The following is a 20,170-nucleotide window of genomic DNA, read 5'->3' as shown; positions in this document are numbered from 1 at the left end:
CATTTCAGTTTTCAGGATATAATAACAGCTAACCTTTATTGAGTGCTTAGCACAAGCCGCACACTGTTAATATAGTCCTCCTCACTATAATGCTATAACTAAAGTACCATAATTATCCTCATTATATAAAGAAACAGAAACAGGGAGGTCAAGTAATCTGCACAAAGTCACACAAATAGCAAGTGGTGGAGCCAGGACTTGTGTGCAGATAGTCTGGCTCCCCAGGCCATGCTTTTGTCCTCCATTTTATATGAGTATTTATAGACTCAGAATTTCAGGAGATGATCTAAGATCAAGATCTGAATACACAAGAATTTAGCCCAGAAGCATTCCCCAGTATGAAGGATGGGTAGAAGAGAACCTAGACTAAAACCAAGGAGCAGTGGGGTCATATAAGTAAAATAGAAAAAAAACACTTCAAGAAGGGGGAAATGGTTCCACTGGGATGAATGCTACTGTTAGGTTTAGATGAATACCAAACAAAGGCCATTGGATTTGGCTACATGAAGATGTTGACATCATCAAGAGTGACCTTGGTCTCTGCAGAGGTGTGGGATCTGATACTAGATAACAAAGAGGTGGAAGAGAATAGGAGGTGAGGAAGTGGGGACAGTAATTACAGAATGCTATTTTAGTTTCATTATAAATGGGAACAGAAAGAGGGTATTTGGAGGAAGTTGTTTTTGAAACTTTTCCTTTTTTGGTTGGTGATAATGATCCAATGGAAGGGTAGATAACAGGAGGAGCAGGTCCTAAGAGAAAAGAGGAAAGAAGAGGCAAGGAAAAAGTGGGATTGGCTGTTGTTCCCCATCATCCTGAAGCAGCTGGATTGATTTGCAGGGCTGCAGCAAAGTTCTCCAGAAGGCCATGTATGCTCTGAGTCAGTGTCCAGTATATGGTACTGTTTCTCCCATAGCCAGGATTCACAGGTTCAGGAATCAAGCAGTGGAAGTAGAAGTGCCACCACTCACCATCACCTCTGGTGATCCACTAGCAAAATTTTTGCTTCCTGTTCCCGCAACATTATGTTCTGCTGGCCTAGAGGTCTTAGTTCCAGAGAGAGGAATGCTGCCACGAGGAGACACAACAACGATTCCATTAAACTGGAAGTTAAGATTGCCACCTGGACACTTTGGGCTCCTCCTACCTTTAAGTCAACAGGCTTAGAAAGGAGTTAACAGTGTTAGCTGGGGTGATTGACCCAGACTATCAAGATGAAGTCAGTCTACTACTCCACAACAGAGGTTAAGGAAGAATACACATGGAATACAGGAGATCCATTAGAGTGTCTCCTAGTATTACCATCTGTGACTAAGGTCAATGGGAAACTATAACAGCCCAATCCAGGCAGGACTACAAATGACCCAGACCCTTCAGGAATGAAGGTTTGGGTCACTCAACCAGGAAAAAAACCACAACCTGCTGAGGTGCTTGCTGAAGTCAAAGGGAATACAGAATGGGTAGTGGAAGAAGGTAGTCATCAATACCAGCTATGACCAGGTGACCAGCTGCAGATGCGAGGACTGTATTTGTCATGAGTATTTCCTCCTCACTTTGTTAAAAACTTGTTTGTGCATTTATACACTTGTACTAAGAAAATATCTTCATTTTATTTCCTTTTCATTTATCATGTGATGTAAGATTTATTGACTTCATATCAGCATTTAAGTATTGTTAACTTTACGTAATAGTATTTGGGTTGGGGACTGGTGTGTTTCTGGTTGTAGGAAGGATATCTGTATGTTAGGTGTAACTACGACCTTATTATTGTTTTTAATTGAAGAGTATGTATGATCTCAGGAGATGTGTATGGGTTCAAGTTGACAAGGGGTGGATTTGTGATGGTTAATATTGAGTGTCAACTTGATTGGATTGAAGAACACAAAGTATTGATCCTGGGTGTGTCTGTGAGGGTATTGCCAAAAGAGATTAACATTTGAGTCAGTGGACAGGAGAAGGTAAATCCACCCTTAATGTGGTGGGCCCAATCTAATCAGCTGCCAGCGAATATAAAGCAGGGAGAAAAACGTGAAAAAGAGAGACTGGCCTAGCCTCCCAGCCTACATCTTTCTCCCGTGCTGGATGCTTCCTGCCCTTGAACATCGGACTCCAAGTTCTTCAGTTTGGGGACTCAGACTGGCTCTTCTTTCTCCTCAGCTTGCAGACAGCCTATTGTGGGACCTTGTGATCATGTAAGTTAATACTTAATAAACTCATATATATATATATATATCTCCTATTAATTATGTCCCTCTAAGAGAACCCTGACCAATACAGCCATGATCAAAGGAAAATCACTTCCTTCATGGATATAGAAAGGAAGAAAGAGTTGGCACAGATGCCCTAGAGGAAAATGATTTGGTGGTAGGAAGATAGAGTTTCCAAATTAATCTGTATTGTCTTAATTAAGTGTGAGCTGAAATTTCAGCTGAAAGTTAGAGTGAAAGGGTGTGGGGTATAGGAAAAAAGAAGAAAGTATAACAAGTCATCACCTTCAGTGGGAAAGCAAGCTTAATAGAGAACAGGACTGATTACTGGGCAGTGATGAGGGCCAGCTTGAAGGCTATAATCATGAATTCTCATGATTTTTTTTGTAAATTGTACAACTGAAAATCTCAGTTGTACAATTTTCTCAGCAATGTTTATTTGCTTTAGTGCAAGCAGGGGAAAATGAGCATGATGACAATGGTAACAATACTCATTGAGGCCTTAATTTGTGCACTCTCCTAAATGTTTTAAATATAATGAATTTTAAAGAATCCTGGATGTGAAAGTTGCAAATCTAATATTAATCACAGAGGAGAGTTGAACAATGTATACCATCAAGTGACTATAATTGCAGATCAGCAGTGAGAAGGCAGGGCATGATATCAGCAAATAATAACTTCAGAGAAGCTAGAAGAAACAGCTTGGAGACAGCCATGGAACACTGGAAAATAAGGGAAGCATTGTCCCACATCTTGACCCTGGGATACACAATAAGGGAATGCAATGTCCTCAAGGACACCTAGCTTTTCATCTAGCTAATAGGTAGCAAGAGCATTCAGAGGAGATGTTGAGGATGCAGTGGGGTTTGCCCGACACAGGTGGAGCACTCCAGAAGGTACATACACAGGTTTAGAAAAAAAGGGAATGAAAGAAGACTGAATTCAATTTGATTATGGTCAGAGTACCATGGGAAGGAAAGTCTGGGTGATAACATTTGGGAAGGATGTTTAGAACTTTGAGGGTAAGTACATCAAATATGTGTGTGAAGCACAATGGGGCTAGTTCTGAAAGTGTGTCAGAAGACTGGCAGAACTAAGTTCTAAGCATGCTAATATGGAATTCTCAGCCTGATAGCTATATCATAAGTCAGAGTTCAATCAGAAAAATAAGGAACATTTTAGGTATTTTGAGCACAAAAGGATTTAATTCAGGGAATTAGAGAATTTAAAAAATCATGGGAAGGCATGGAAAATAAAGAAACTGCAGGAAGACAGCCCTGATGATTTCAACTGCCTATGGAAAGAAAGGGATGATTCTCAAGACACAAAACTTCAAGCCACCTATTACTTCCCCAGTTGAAATAGTGCCTTTCTTCTGCATATGGCTAGCCAGTTATTGCAGTGCCATTTATTAAACAGTCCTTTCCACATTGCTTATTTTTATTGATTTTGTCAAAGATTAGATGGTTGTAGGTGTTCAGGGTTTATTTTGGGGTTCTCTATTCTGTTCCACTGGTCTATATGTCTGCTTTTGTACAGTACTATGTTGTTCCAATTACTGTAGCCTTATAATATTGTTTGAAGTCAGGTAATGTGATGCCTCTGGCTTTGTTCTTGTTGCTTAGGATTGCTTTGGCTATTCAGGCTCTTTTTTGGTTCCAACTGAAATTTAGAATAGATTTTCCTAATTCTGTGAAAAATGATGTTGGTATTTTGATAGGGTTAGCATTGAAAATATACATTGCTTTGGGCAGTATGGCCCATTTTAACTATATTGATTCTTCTAATCCATGAGCATGGAATATTTTTTAATTTATTTGTGTCATTTCTGATTTTTTTCCACAGTGTTTTGTAGTTCTCCTTGCAGAGATCTTTTAACCCCTTTATCCTAAACTAAAGAACTTCCGCACAGCAAAAGAAATTACCAACAGAGTAAACAGACAGCCCACATAATGGAAGAAAATATTCGCAAACTATGTATCTGACAAAGATCTAATATCCAAAATCTACAAGGAACTTAAACAAATCAACAAGCAAAAAATTAAAAATCCAATTAAATGGGCAAAGGACATGAAAAGATACTTCTCAAAAGAAGACATACACGTGGCCAAGAAACATGAAAAAATGCTCAGCATCACTAAATATTAGAGAAATGCAAATCAAAAACCACAATAAAATACCTTCTCACACCAGTCAGAATGGCTACTGTAAAAAGACAAAATATAAGAGATGCTGGTGATGTTGCAGAGAAAAGGGAATGCTTGTACACTATTGGTGGAAATGCAAACTAGTTTCAACTGCTACGGAAAGCAGATCAGAGATTTCTCGAAGGATTTAAAATAGACCTACCATTTGACCCAGCAATCCCACTACTGGGTATATACCAAAAGGAAAATAATTCTCTCTGTCAAAAAGACACATGCACCCATATGTTCACTGCAGCACTATTCACAATAGCAAAGACACAGAATCAACTTAAGTGCCCATCAATGGTGAACTGGACAAAGAAAATGTTGTACATATATGCCATGGAGTATAATGCAGCCATAAAAAAAGAGTGATGGAGCTAGAGGCCATTATCTTAAGCAATCTAACAGCAAACCAAAGAACAGAAAACCAAATGACACATGATCTCACTTATAAGTGGGAGCTAAACTTTGAGTACACATGAATGTAAAGATTGGAATAATAGACACTGGGATCACTAGATGGGGGAAAGAGGGAGGGGGTAATGGGCTGAAAAACCACCTGTTGGATACTATGCCCTACTGCCTGGGTGATGGAATTGTTGGGACCTCAAGCCTAAGCATCACAGTTTACACATGTAACAAACCTGCATGTGTACCCTTTAATCTATAATAAAAGTTGAAATTTAAAAAAAAAGAAATTGTGCCTTTGCTTCTCCCTGACTCCCAAATCTCATGTCCGTATCTCTCACTGACAGAATTTATATGGAAACCTTGCTAACAGGGATTTTGGAAAATGTATTTCCAGGTTTCCAGTTCCAGTATACAGAGGAGAGAAGTGAAATGGGAAATAATGCTGAGTTACCAAAAAATGAGGCTGGGCGCAGTGGCTCACACCTGTAATCCCAGCACTTAGGGAGGCCAAGGCAGGTCGATCACAAGGTCAGGAGTTTGAGATCAGCCTAGCCAACATGGTGAAACCCTGTCTCTACTAAAAAATACAAAAATTAGCTGGGCATGGTGGCATGCACCTGTAGTCCCAGCTACTTGGGAGACTAAGGCAAGAGAATCACTTGAGCCTGGGAGGTGGAGGTTGCAGTAAGCTGAGATCGTGCCACTGCGCTCCAGCCTGGGTGACAGAGTGAGACTCTGTCTCAAAAGAAAAAAAAAAAAAGATACCCCACGTAACATGCTATGATTCATTGATTCATTCATTCTCTCTTCCCTCTCTCTCCTCTTCCTCCCTGAAATCACAGGGAAATTTGTCTGGCTTGGCCATCACCTTTACCTTTGCATCTCCCCATCCCCATCTAAACAATAACAAACTTTGGTTTGCCACCACACCCTATTCTGGCATTGTGTTTACTCAAGACTCTATCTCACCTGGCCTTCACACTTTCTGTTCTCTCTGACTTCCTCCTCCAACTCAGCACCCTCTTCTGTGCTTATTCCTAGGGTTCCTTCAGGTATCAACTTGCTATTACTTATTCCTGAGATGTTTCCCTTCTGTCCTCTCAAGCAGTTTCAATGCCCCAGTCCTACACTTCCATAATACTTTCCGCATTAGAATTCATATTACAGCGTTATTTAGGTTGCTTGTTATCTCTCCCCTGCACAAGCCCTGGGACTCTGTTAGGAAAGAGACCATATCTTTCTTGTTACTTTCTGTGACCTCAGTGTCTTTTATGCTCTAAGTTCTTAACAATTATTTTTGAAATGAAAGACAGGGAGAGAAAAAAAGGAAGAAAAGAAGGAGAGTTATGAGACTTCCATTTTATTTCTTAATTGGGGTTTCATTGATGTAATATGGTCTGTTTTCAAAACACACACAGCTGGAATACATCATTTACCGAGTTTGTAAGGAATTTCTGATATGTTTATTTATACTGCTTTTGTTTATATTCCCATTGAGGTGAAACTATAAGAAAATACACTGCCTATAACAAGAAAAATTGGCACCTATCTTACCATTTTAAAATAATTTCAAAGACTAGTGAACCCTTAAAAGTTGATATTTCCAACTGGGACAAAGGGTGAAAGTATTACCCTATCCTGAGTCTCCTCTATATGACCCCATCACCCTCCCACCAAAAAATATCAAATTATCAAACATAACAAACCCCCTTCGTTTCAGGCTCAAGTTTAAGTTTTCCAAGAAGAAGCTTTTAAGAATTCATATTAAAATTTTCTGAGACTATGTATTAGTCAGCTCAGGCTGCCATAACTACAGCAATCCCCTCTAATACCCTCTAAGTTTTGCTTTCCACAATTTCTGTTGCCAGCAGTAATGGCAGTCTGAAAATTGATGAGTATAGTACAATAAGATATTTTAAGAGAGACACAGAGAAAAAAGATATATTTACATAAATTTTATTATTACTTTTTTTGAGACGGATTCTCACTCTGTCACCCAAGCTGGAGTGCAGTGGTGCGATCTTGGCTCACTGCAACCTCCGCCTCCTGGGTTCACGCCATTCTCCTGCCTCAGCCTCCAGAGTAGCTGGGACTACAGGTGCCCGCCACCACACCAGGCTAATTTTTTTGTATTTTTAGTAGAGACGGGGTTTCACCATGTTAGCCAGGATTGTCTCGATCTCCTGACCTTGTGATCGGCCTCCCAAAGTGCTGGGATTACAGGCATGAGCCACCGCGCCCAGCCCATTCACATAAATTATAGTATATTGAAATAATGTTTCTATTTTGTTATTATTGTTGTTCATCTCTTACAGGAATCTATAAATTAAACTTCATCATAGGTATCCATGTATAGGAAAAAGCATAGTGTATAGAGAGTTTGGCACTATCCACGGTTTTAGTCATCCACTAGAGGTCTTGAAACATATTGCCCATGGATAAGTGGAAACTATTGTATCATAGACCATGTGGCTTAAACAGCAGAAGTTTTTTTTTTTTTTTTTTTTTTTTTTTTTTACCATTCTGGAGGGTGTACATCCAAGATCAGGGTGCCAGTATAGTCAAGTTCTGGTGAGGGCTCTCTTCCTGGCCTATAGATGGCCACCTGCTCATTGTATCCTAAAATGGGCTTTCCTCAGTGCCTGTCAGCCCTTGCTCTCTTCTTCTTGTAAGGTCACTAATCCCATCATGAGGGCCTCACCCTCAGGATCTCATCTAACCTAATTACCCCTGAAAGGCCACATCTCCAAATATATCACATTGGGGCTTAGGGATTCAACATGAATTTTGAGAGAACACAATTCGGTCCATAGCAAACCAATTTATTATTCTTCTAGGGACGTTAGAAAAAAACAGAACAATCTATATTTGTTCTGTCCAATACAATAGCTACTAACACCATGCAGCTATTTAAAATTAAACTTAAATTAAGAAATTGATGAAATTGAAGATTCATTTCCTCCATCTCAGTAGCAACATTTCAAGTGCCCAACAGTCACATGTACCAGGGGATATCATATTTGGCAGCACAGATACAAAACATTATCATCACAGAAAGTTCTATTAAACAGTGCTGGTCTAGATCAATAGTTTAACACTAAGGAATCTCTCAAGATAGGAATTTTAGACATGTACATAAGTAAAAAAATCTATTGAGGGATAGGCTGAGTACTGGTTTCTCTACTTCTTCTGTTCTACCCTTTAACAAAAAGGTTGGTTTTTATTACACATACCAGGAAATTCAACTCAATCTGACACAAACAATTAAGGATTTCATTTACTCACATAACATGGAAATTCAAAGAGAATTCTGGTATGGTTTATCGGGGCATTTGCTCCATTTTTCTCTAAATCCTTCAAAGTCTTCTATTAACATTTTAAACCTGAGCCTAGTTTCCCTCCATGATTACAAATGGCTGCAGTACTTCCAGTCCTCACATCTATACCCCACATCATTCAGAGAAAGAGATTTTCTTTTCCTCCCACCTTAGAAGGGAAGTTCTTTATTTCACCCTGCTTGGCCCAATCTTAAAAAAAAAAAAAAAATTTCCAGGGAAGTAACATGAATTGACAGTCTTAGGACTAGTCACTGATTCAGTTGTCATGGCAGCTGTGTCAGATTAGGCTGATTTGCTCAGGCCTGTGAGGACTCACTCTGGGAGCTGGGATAAAGGCAATCCCCTGCTTCCCCCCAAAATTGGTCAGTTACTATGCAATAGAGGAAGGTAGTTCTCCAAAACTGTGTGCTGTTGGAAAGGGGAAGAATGATGGATCAGTCCGTTTTCACATCACTATAAAGAAATACCCAAGAGTGGATAACTTATAAAAGAAAGAAGTTTAATTGACTCACAGTTCCACATGACTGGAGAGGCCTCAGGAAACTTACAATCATGGTGGAAATTGGGGAAGCAAGGACTTTCTTCACATGGTGGCAGGAGAAAGACGAGCAAGCAGGGGGGAATGCCAGATGCCTATATAACCATCAGATATCGTGAGAACTTACTATCATGAGAACAGCATGGGGAAACTGCTGCCATGATATAATCATATCCCACAAGTTCCCTCCCTCGACACGTGGGAATTATGGGGATAACAGTTCAAGATGAGATTTAGGTGGGGACACAGAGCCAAACCATATCAAATGGATACTGAGCAGGCACCCAGCCTTGTGTGTACCCCTATACACATCCTCGCAGTCAAAGGACTGGTTCTGGATACAAGTAGCTAGTCATAGTAAAGGTTAAGCAGTCTGTTAACTCCTGACCGAGACAGCTACAGTTTCCCAGTGCTGTGCTCTGACTCCACAATTCTTTTTGCCTCTTGTTCCAGCCAAGAGCCAGAACTGATTCATTTTAAGCTTTCCTCATTATTGTTTTGGGATTTATATGTGCTTTCCTTATATTTCTTAAGATGTTTCTTATTGTATAAGGGGCTTTAAAATTGGGCAATAAAAGAGAGAAGCAGGTTTCAAAATAAATAATCTGAAGTCAATAGCTTTCTGAAATACGAACAACAATCAGAAAATATTATGAAATAAAGGATATATTCAGGACAATGGGAAAACTGCAAATCCAAACTCCATCCTTTAAGTACCTTATGCCCCTAAGTAATTTATTTAAATCATCTACACAACAGTAAAATAGGATCTGTAAATAATAACTAGGATTAATAACATAATTAATATAAATTTTTAAAGTGCCTCATCACAGTGACCATAAAATATGATGATAAAATAATGATGATTATGTGAGATAAATACCTTGAAATCATTTTAACAACAGATGAGTTAGACCTATATGAAGAAATTATAGTTTCCCAATTTACATAAGAAAAAATGTCAATAAATGGTAAAGCATACCATAATACTAAATGGAAAAACTATTTACAATCAAGAGTATTCCAAATCAATGCAAGAAAGAATAGACTATTTAACAAATGTTGTTGGCATAACTGGCTAACTAGGAAGAAATACATTTATATGCTTCAATATTACCTTATACAAAACTAACTTCTGAATAAGTGAAATATTTTTAATGTATAAGCTATAAAATTCTCTAAGAAAATAGGAATAAAATATATATAATTTGGGGGCAGGGAGGGCCAGTCCAAGAGTGGCAGCAACATTTGAAAATTTAAAGAAAAAGACTAACAGATTTTAAAGATAATTTACTGATGCAGAGTGTGGGCTGCCTGGCTTCAAAATCTAGCACCACCAACCCTATAGTTTCTTCATACAGGTCTAACTCACCTGTTGTTAAAATGATTTCAAGGCATTTATCTCACATAATCATCATTTTATCATCATAATATTTATTTTATGATCACTGTGATCATAGAGAAGCAGGTTTTCTCTTGTGAAAGTTTCTTACCTTTTCTCTGCATCGGTGTCCTCTTCTGCTGAATGCCTATTTATATTGGGCATTTGTTTCTACCTTCCCCTGTGATCTGCTCTACACACATACACTTGTTGCAGGAGCAAGAAGTCTAATACTACATTTCCCAGACTTCCTAATAACCAGGATTTGTGATGCAATCTTGATTCTGCCAGTGCAACATATGACCACAAGATTTGGAAGACAAAACACGAGGGAGATGTCATTCTTTTGTGGCTGGAACAATTAACTAGCAATTTCCAACACATGAGTTTTTGTAGTGGTCAGAGTTCACATTCCAGAATGTAGTCACGATCTCCTGGTCACTAGACATTTTAGTATGGGAATGGTGATATCAGAAGCAGCAGCAGCTTCCTAACCTGTGGATTTCCTCCATCTAAATTTGACCTTAAAACAATAGCTTGATTGTGACTCTCATGACTTCCACTCCTCCACCCTTCCAGTGATATTTGTAAGAACTCAGTTCCCTCTACTAAATATTTTCCTCTTTGAAATTCCTGGAATGTTTTCTATTTCCTGGGCTGAACCCTAACTGATACAAACATCTAGTTATTCTTTCCCTTCAAAAATAATTACAAAAGATTATAGGGAAATCAACACAAATTTTCATAAAGTAGACATACTAAGTAAAAGCTAACTTTCAACAGGAAACTGATCAATCTAGCATAAAATACATAGAATACAATGCAGCCATTAAAGTGGTAACATATTCATAAAGTTAGTTCATAATTAAATTATATTATGTGAATAGCCTTATATATAAATACTATAAAATTCAAAATGAGTATAAATGTATATAGTAAAAAATAAGGAAAAAATCTTGTCCACATTTATCTCTCAGTTACCTGGTTATCCTCTCCAGAGGCAATCCAGGTAGCCAAAATTTTCTTTATATTTCAAGAGATATTCTATTCATGTATAAATATATGTTAGTACATTCAAATATATATATTGCTTTTCTCATTGTATAATATTTCTCATAATTTCATAATAGGTACATTTGCCTTATTCTTTTTAATGACAATATAAGATTTTATTGTTCTCATGTACCACTTATTTTACTGATAAATAATTGTACATATTCATGTGGTACATAGTGATGTATTGATACACATAATGCATGGTGATGAAATCAGGGTAATTAGCAAAACCATCATCTCAAACATTTATCAATTCTTTGTATTGGGAGCATTCAATATCTTCCCTCTAGCTATTTGATACTATATATTATTAACTGCATTTTTAACTAAGTCACTCTATAGTGCTGCAGAACAGCAGAACTTATTCCTCCTATATAGCTGTAATTTTATATCCTTTAGAAAATCTCTCCCTATTACTCCCTTTCCCCTATCCTTCCCAGCCTCTAATATCTTCTTTTCTACTTTTCACTTCTATGAGATCAACGTTTTTAGTTTCCACATTTGAGTGAGACCATGCAGTTTTTAACTTTCTGTTGCTGGCTTATTTTACTTAACTTAGTGTCCTCTATTAACATCCATGTTGCCACAAATGACAGGATTTCATTCTTTTTATGGTTGAATAGTGTTCCCTTTAATATACATACCACACTTTCTTTATCCAGTCACCTGTTGTAGGAAATCTAGGTTGATTCCATATCTTGGTTTTTGCAAATAGTGCTACAATAGACACAAGAGGGCAGATGTATAATCAGCATACTAATTTCCTTTCATTTGCATAAATGCCCAGTAGTGGAATTTCTGCAACATATAGTAGTTCTATTTGAGTTTGTTGGGGAATCTCCATATTATTCTTCATAGTGGCTATACTATTTTACGTTCCCAGCAACAGTGTATGAGTTCTCTTTTCTCTCCATCTTAATAGCCATCATAACTGCGGTGAGATGATACTTCATTTCTGATTTGCATGTCTCAGAAGATTAGCAATGCTGAGCATTTTTATATATTTATTGGATAATTGCATATCTTATTTGGAGAAATGTCCATTCAGATAATTTGTCCATTTTTAATCCCATTTTTTTTTTTTGCTGTTGAGATGTTTCCATTCCTTGTATATTCTAGATATTTATCCCTCTCAAATGAGTAGTTTGCAAATATTTTCTTCCACTCTATAGGTAGCCTTTTTTCACTCTATTGATTATTTTGCTGTGCAGCTTTTCAGTTTGATATAATCCCAGTGGTTTATTTTTACTTTTGTTGCCAGTGGTTTTAAACTCTTATTCATAAAATCTTATCCCAGACCAATGTCTTGAAGCATTTCCTCCACATTTTCTTCTAATAGTTTTATTGTACAGTGTGAGAGGTGGGGGTCCAGTTTCATTCTTCTGCATATGGATACCAATTTCCCTGGCACCATTTACTGAAGAGACTCTCCTTTCCCCAGTGAGCGGTCTTGGCACCTTTGTCAAAAATAAATTGGCTATAGATAGGTGGGTTAATTTCTGGGTTCCCTATTCTGTTTCATTGTTTTATGTGTCTGTTTTTATGCCAGTACCATGCTATTTTAGTTAATACAGCTTTGTGATACATTCTGAAATCTAATAGTGTGATGCCTTCTGCTTTGTTCTTTCTGCTCAGGATTTCTTTAGCTATTGGGGTCTTATGTGGTTCCATACATATTTTAAGATTTTTTTTCTATTTCTGTGAAGAATGTCACTGGTATTTTGACAGGGATTGCATTGAATCTGTAGATTTATTTGGGGAGTATTGTTATTTTAACAATATTAATTCTTCTGATCTATGAACATGTGATTTATTTTCATTTGTTTGTATCTTCTTCAATTTCTTTCACCAGTGTTTTGCAGTTTTCCTTGTAGAAGCCTTTCATCTCCTTGGTTAAATTTATTCCTCGGTTTTGTGTGTGTGTGTGTGTGTGTATGGCTGTCATAAGTGGGATTGCCTTCTTGGTTTCTTGTTTTGGTTGTTATTTATTTACAATACTGATTTTGTATAAGTATTGTATCAGAAAAATAATGCTGATTTTGGATACTGATTTTGTATTCTGCTGTAACTTGACTGCATTTGTTTATCTTTTCTAAGAGCTTATTTTGGTAGAGTCTTTAGGTTTTTCTATATATAAAATCCTATTATCTGCAAACACAGACATTTTGACTTCCTCCTTTCTGATTTGGATGTCTTTTATTTCTTTTTCTTGCCTAATTGCTCTGGCTAGGACTTCCAGTGCTATGTTGAATATGAGTGGTGAAAGCGGGCATCCTTTTTTGTGTTCCAGTCCTTAGAAGAAAAGCTTTCACCTCTTCCCCATTCAGATATTTGCTGTGGGTTTGTGATATATTTTTTATTTTGGCTCTAATCTTCATAATTCTTTCCTTCTACTATTTTAGGGTTTGGTTTGTTTCTGGTTCTTTGAAGTGCATCATTAGGTTGTTTATTTGAAATCTTTCTAGTTTTTTGATGTAAGCATTTATTGCTATAAACTTGTCTCTTAATACTGCTTTTGCTGTGTCTCATAGGTTCTGTATGCAGTGTTTCTCTTCTCATTCGTTTCAAATTTTTTATTTCATTCTTAATTTCTTCTCTCACCCATTGGTTTTTAAGAAGGTGTTTAATATCCATGTATTTGTATAGTTTCAAATGTTCCTCTTTTTACTGATGTCAGTTTTATTACATTATGTGCAACATGATGTGTGAATATGTATGTAAAATAAATGTCTAGAGATTTAAAACTATGTAAAAATGTTATGCTCACCTTTACTTTTGAGAAATACATTATGTTCAGAAGTCCCATGAGTTAAAGATATTTATTTTACTTACAAGTTAGTCTGCCATGGTTATGAGTGTGTGTATGTCTGTGCATGCATATGTATATGCATATGTGTATGTATATGTATATGTACTGACAGAAACACCAGACATCTGGACCAGAGAACAAATCATGTATTACAGCAAAAAGAACAGCAAGAGTAATATCTTGCATGAGTTCCCCATGCCCCAATTCCTCACAGGGCAATGCAATGAGGACACAATATCAACCTATATGTGGGGCAGAGTTTGCACCACAGAAGATCCCTGAAATTATGAGACTAATAGTTCATATAGAGTAGCTGGTATATCTGCATGTATCTCCCCTTATGTACACAGAGAAAGAGAGAATGAGAGAAAGAGAGAAATCTGACAACCCTGGAAAGTAACTGACTATTTGTCCATAGGAGGTAAGTTTCTACAACCCTCTGGAGCAATTCACAGTCTCTAGTTTTCAAGACCTTTGTATGAAAACATGTCCCTTGCTCAGAAATCCCAAATCATGCAGAAATGTGAGAATATTCACAGAGAATTTATTTCCAAAAAGATGATATCAAATTAACCTGCAATGTGATATCTCCACCAAGTTGGAGACTGTTTCCTCAAACATTCACTACAATAAAGTTATCAATTTTAATTTGCTATTCTAATAAGTTAGAATTTTATTTAATTTTTGTTCTAATTTCTATTTGTAATGATTGAAAGTTGTATTTACATTCTTATTTTTGTAAAAGTTATAATTTTTGTTAAACTGCTAGTTTATATAATGTGCCTATTTTTCTAGTGTGCTAGTTGTCTTTTAGTATTGATTTATAGAATTTTTCCCTGAGATCCTCTGAAAGTGCATCTTGAGAAAAAGATTGATGTATGCATGCTATATTGAGGAACATGATCCCAGAAAGCAAGGGTGGGGGACAGCAGTATATGTGGAAGAAGAGAGTCAATACAACAAGTTTTTCCAAGTTGTTATACAACTGTGAAAAACTAACAGACTTTCTAGAAGCCTTATGCAGTGAACCTCAACCTTTTTTGCACCGGTGACTTGTTTCATGGAAGAAAATTTTTCCATCAAAGGGCGTGGTGGGGGGGGATGGTTTCAAGATGAAACTGTTCTACCTCAGACCATCAGGCATTAGTTAGATTCTCATAAGGAGTGCTCAATCTAAATCCCTTGCATGTGCAGTTCACAATAGGTTTCCAGCTCCTATGAGAATCTAATGCCACTGCTGAGCTTACAGGAGGTGGAGCTCAGGTGGTAATGCTTGCTTACCCCCACCTCCTACTGTGTGCCCTCTGCCCCACCTGCTGTGTGGCCCAGTTTCTAACAGGCCACAGACCAGACCAGTACCAGTCCGCAGCCTGGTGGCTAGAGACCCCTGCCTTATAGGACATATCTCATGAAGGAAGATGGAAGCATTTATGTCTAGGCTCCTGTATCCATTGGTCAAGAGCTGGCTGACTTGCTGGGTGTAAACTGTCCCACACTTCCTTGTGGTTGTCCATGCTTGAGTGCCAGGTGATTCCTATGGGACCCCAAACATCAGGGCAAGAAAAGAGGGACTCACAATACATTCCTAGAGTGAGCCTATGTCAGGATACATCTGCTCAAAACTATTCAAAGCCAGTCCAGAACTGGTCATTATAGCCTTGGTCAGACTATAAGATGAGGCTGAGAGGATGTCAATAGTGCATGTGAAGTGTCCAATTGGTACACTTATGTCCCCCTAGATCTCTCAAATCCAGTTTATCACTGAGTCCCCTATAAGGCAGAACTTTTTTCTGGCATTTCTATCAATAAAATGTCTGTTATTTACATTTTTCTTCCCTTACCTAGGACTTAAATTAGGGTAGAAAAAATCCCCCAGTAAATTCCTTGGAATCCACTGCTGAAGTTCTGTCTTAGTGTATTCAGGTTGCTATAACCATAACCAAATACCATAAACTAGGTAGCTAATAAACAACAGAAATTTATTTATCACAGTTCTGGAGAGACAGGGATGTCCAAGATAAGGTATTGGCAGGTTCAGTGTTGGTGAGGGTCATTTCTCATTAATGGCATCTTCCTGCTGCATCTTTTACATGGTGGAATTGGCCAATGAGCTCCTTGGGCTTATTTTATAAGAGCACTAAACCCATTCATGAGGGCTCTACCATGATGGCCTAGCCACCTGTCAAAAGGCCCCACCTCCTGATACCATCACTGTTAGGATGAGGATTTCAACATATGAAGTTTGAACAAATATAAACATTCAGACCATAGCAAGTTCTAAGGATGTTCAATTGGTGTCACTCTGCATTTCTGGCAAAGATTCCAATGGCTCCCATGAAGCATTTCCAAAGGAACATCATTTTATTCAAAACTGCTCTATGTCTTCTGTAGTATCTGGACAATATATTGTACTTATTAGAATCCATTTGAACAAATAACAAATAATTTTGAAAAAACCCAAAGTACTCTCAGGCAGTAATAAAGCCTCATAAATAAATTTAAGAAAAGGTCAAATATGCTGTTTTTACTGTTTGTTTATAAATTGGTTTTAATTTCAAGATTCAAGGAGATGAAACATAAAAATATAATTGTCATTGACAAAAATTATGTGTACTCTTTGTAACTAAGCTCTACTCCAACCCATTTACTATAATAACTCAATCAACTCTTAAAGTTGCCAAGTACCTCACTACCAGATTAAAGATCTGGTCCCTAATTAAATGGATAATACATTTGGAGAAGTAGAATGAAGTCAAACCTGGAGTTGTCCAATTCGTTTTTCTTTCATATAGGCCCTGGGAAATCTTTAAACATTAAATCCAAAAATTTACCTCAAGTAAGGCAGCTTATCTAGGCCTGAATTTAAGAGACATGATCCTTATAGAAACATAATATTTTTCTTATAGAACCAAATTTAACAGGGTTGGTGAAAATCAGTCAGGACCACACTACTTCTGGACTCTGTCATGATTACTTTACATATTTATAACAACCCAAGAAGATATAGTGATTTTGATTGGATTATCTATGCTCTCGCCCTCCTTATAGCGGTACTTGGAATACATTTCATGGGTCTGAATGAGCATTCTGAACTTTTGCAATTGCAACCAAAGCAAAAATTGACAAATGAGATCTAATTAAACTAAAGAGCTTCTGCACAGCAAAAGAAACTACCAACAGAGTGAACAGACAACCTACAAAATGGGAGAAAATGTTTGCAAACTATGCATCTGACCAAGGTCTGATAGTCAGCATATGTAAGGAACTTAAAAAAATTTACACCAAAAAAGCAAACTATCACATTAAAAAGTGGGCAAAGAACATGAACAGACACTTTTCAAAAGAAGATATTCATGTGGCCAAGAAACATAAAAGCTCAACATCACTGATCATTAGAGAAATGCAAATCAAAACCATGAAGAGACATATCATTTCAAAAAAGAAATATTATCTTCAACTAAAGAAGATAACATAATGGTACCTTTTATGTGTGTAATTTTTAATTCATAAAATAAATTTTGCATTCTAAAAATAAAAATGTAAAGAATATACAGCCATAGGCCCCAATTCTTTGCTTCTTCCAGGAACAGCATCTCCTCTTCTGAAGCCCCCTGCCAAAGGTCCACAGAGTTACCAGAAGTGAATATCTGACTCTGCAGGTGGTGATCCTTTCCACTTCCCCTGGAACTTTCAGTTTTTCCATACACTATATTCTGCCTTGACAAAGGACTATTAGGAATAAACACTTTTTAGAAGCAACATCCTATAATAAAATGTATCAGCTCATTTCTACCTTTGGACACCGTCCATGCACTCAACATGAAATGACATCCTGCAAAATCCCCAAGTGGGGCTGGCAGCCTGTGTGGCTCACCATGTGAGGATGAAACCAAATCACCTTCCTCAGGACCACAGAGACTAAATAAATACAAAGCCAAAGTATAAAAAGGGCAGGATAGCGCATTCTCCTCAAACTTTGGGGTAAGCGTTCTTCCTCCACTTTACCTCCTTGATAAAGGGCAGGATAGCACATTCTCCTCAAACTTTGGGGAAAGCGTTCTTCCTTCACTTTCCCTCCTTGATACCTCCACAAGGGGAAAACAGCTGACCTTTTCAGTAGGATGTTCCTTTTATAAATCCCCACCATCCTACTGCAAATTTCTTTAATGCAACGATGAAAATATTAGAGAAGAGAACTTCTCTTGTCATTCTATCATTGTTTTTCTTTTTAAAAACTCTTAAATATGGAGTTTCAAGAAAAAAACATTGTTTCACCTGGGATTAATAGAATAAAAACAGTTAAAGGTAAACTTCAAAGTGAAAATCCTAAGAACTAAATATTTGAATTTTTAGACTTTTCCATTCTGGTTAAATGGAAATTAGAGGAATTTAAATTGTTTCCTCAAAGATTGTCCATTGCCATTTTATCACTCTCCTCTCCTTACTTGAAATATGAGCACTCGATGATGATGATGATGATGATGACGATTTCCCCACAATACTTTCTCTACCCACATAGACCTCTGCAAATCCTTTCTCAGGTTCTATGACACCAATCACATCAAACTAGCCCTGGTCTAAAAATCCCTAGATTTTTAATCATGACCTTTAGGCAATTAATAGAGAAAGTATTTACCATGGCATCTTTTTTCTATAATTCTGTAATGACAGATAGTTGTTCTGGACCAAAATATATATTAAGAAGAAAAGTAATTAAAATCCTTCTGATCTACTATGTAGAAATCATAGTTTTCCTCTACAATTCACAAAAAGACAGTCCATGAAAAAAAAAAAAACTTCTGTACTTTCTTCTATACTTTTCAGCATCTCTAAAATTAGCAACTAATAACTCAGATGACCCTAAGGTTATACAATTCAAGGAATTGTTTTATACTCCCCTCTTTGTGCAAGTACAGTGTTCTCTGCTACTAACAGAAGGTCAGCTGTTGACAGTCAGAGTCATTAAAACATAAGTGATTTTCATTTCAACACTCTTTGAAATTATTTTGCCAAGGAAATGGAGTTGCAGTATCCTCAGTGGTTCGGTGGAAGTACATATAGAGGAAAGTATAAAGAGAAATCAAAAAATCATCCTAATTGTTATAGGTTTATCTCTCTCATATTTAGCCATTCTTCTTGAGGCAAATTTGTATAAATACTCATAGCTGACCTTTTATAAGCCCTAGCTAACTTTACAGTTATTAAAGAATATATGTTAGAGATTATAATTCAAAATACAAAACCTGGGAAAAACTCTTACTTACTAAATTCCAACAGGCAACAAAATAGTATATCGCAGCAATTACTTAACAGCAAACTGCACAAGGAATGTATTTCAAACCAAAGACTCTAATTATACTAATGGATGCAATAATTATATTTGCTTTAAAATTTACCTCAGGGCACTCCTCCATTATTTTAAGCACTTTGCATTATTTGGTTTAGACCACTGATAAGAAATTTTCTGACAATTTGGCAACAGAAATATAAGATTCTGTTATTGTAAAACTAACAAATAACAAGATCTTAGAAATAAACTCTAGATTCCCCGAACATATCAGAGTAACTGAGACAGGATAGGAATATCTTTTACCTGAGTAATATCACTACCCCTGAGTAGGGTTCTCATTAGAACAAAACCACTGTGAGGACAAGGAAATTAGTGCCTAGAGGAAAAATATAAAATATACATATTCTTTAAAATGTTTTCTAGAGCCTGAGTCCATAAATTTTATATTTGCTATTAAAATACAGCAAATTGCCGGCAAGAAAAGAAAATCCAGCAGAGGCTGCCAGCTGTCCAGCAAAAATGAAAATAAGATTCTTCCTTCTTCCACTGTAAAAAAGTTGTAGTTGTGACATCACTGCCCAGCAAGAAACTGAGCTCCCCAGCCCCCATGCTCTAAGTGTAGGCTATGATTAACAGCTTCACCATGGGACTGGAGCATACATTATGTGTTTAACTTGTTTAAGCATAATTCCCTGGCCCCAGATTTCTGTTCTTCTCCCTCTCATCTGGCTCAAGGTCCTCCTCCATTCTTTTAAGCACTGAAGAGCCTTGTGCTAAGGAGCCTTGAATGTGACTTGTTGACAACGGTAATGCCACATTATTAACCTGGCTCCCAAAATACTTACATGGAGGACAGCCTACTACCAACCTCAGAGAAGGTTAGCACTTACCTCAAAGAAGGTTAGAAACAATAAGTCATAGTCTCTCAGCCACTGAACACTTCAATTTCTT

The 20,170-nt window shown here is 37.1% G+C and overlaps 1 long non-coding RNA gene across 1 annotated transcript in view, besides 1 other annotated feature; it reads right to left on the bottom strand.

Moving 5' to 3' along the window:
- Window positions 1-20,170, bottom strand: part of LOC101928516 (uncharacterized) — a 621,277-nt gene that overhangs the window by 542,182 nt on the left and 58,925 nt on the right. The window lies entirely within an intron of this gene.
- Window positions 16,188-16,357: an enhancer, noted in NCBI's record as "experimental_94479 CRE fragment used in MPRA reporter constructs". NCBI's record gives its function as "activates a minimal promoter by MPRAs in K562 erythroleukemia cells, with activity observed for the non-introgressed 6:74841990 variant allele {active_cell/tissue: K562}" and the evidence as "EXISTENCE:reporter gene assay evidence [ECO:0000049][PMID:34662402]".

This window comes from Homo sapiens, chromosome 6 (assembly GCF_000001405.40).
Source record: "Homo sapiens chromosome 6, GRCh38.p14 Primary Assembly".
Taxonomy (NCBI): Eukaryota; Metazoa; Chordata; class Mammalia; order Primates; family Hominidae; genus Homo; species Homo sapiens.
This window is presented reverse-complemented; position numbering and strand designations above follow the sequence as displayed.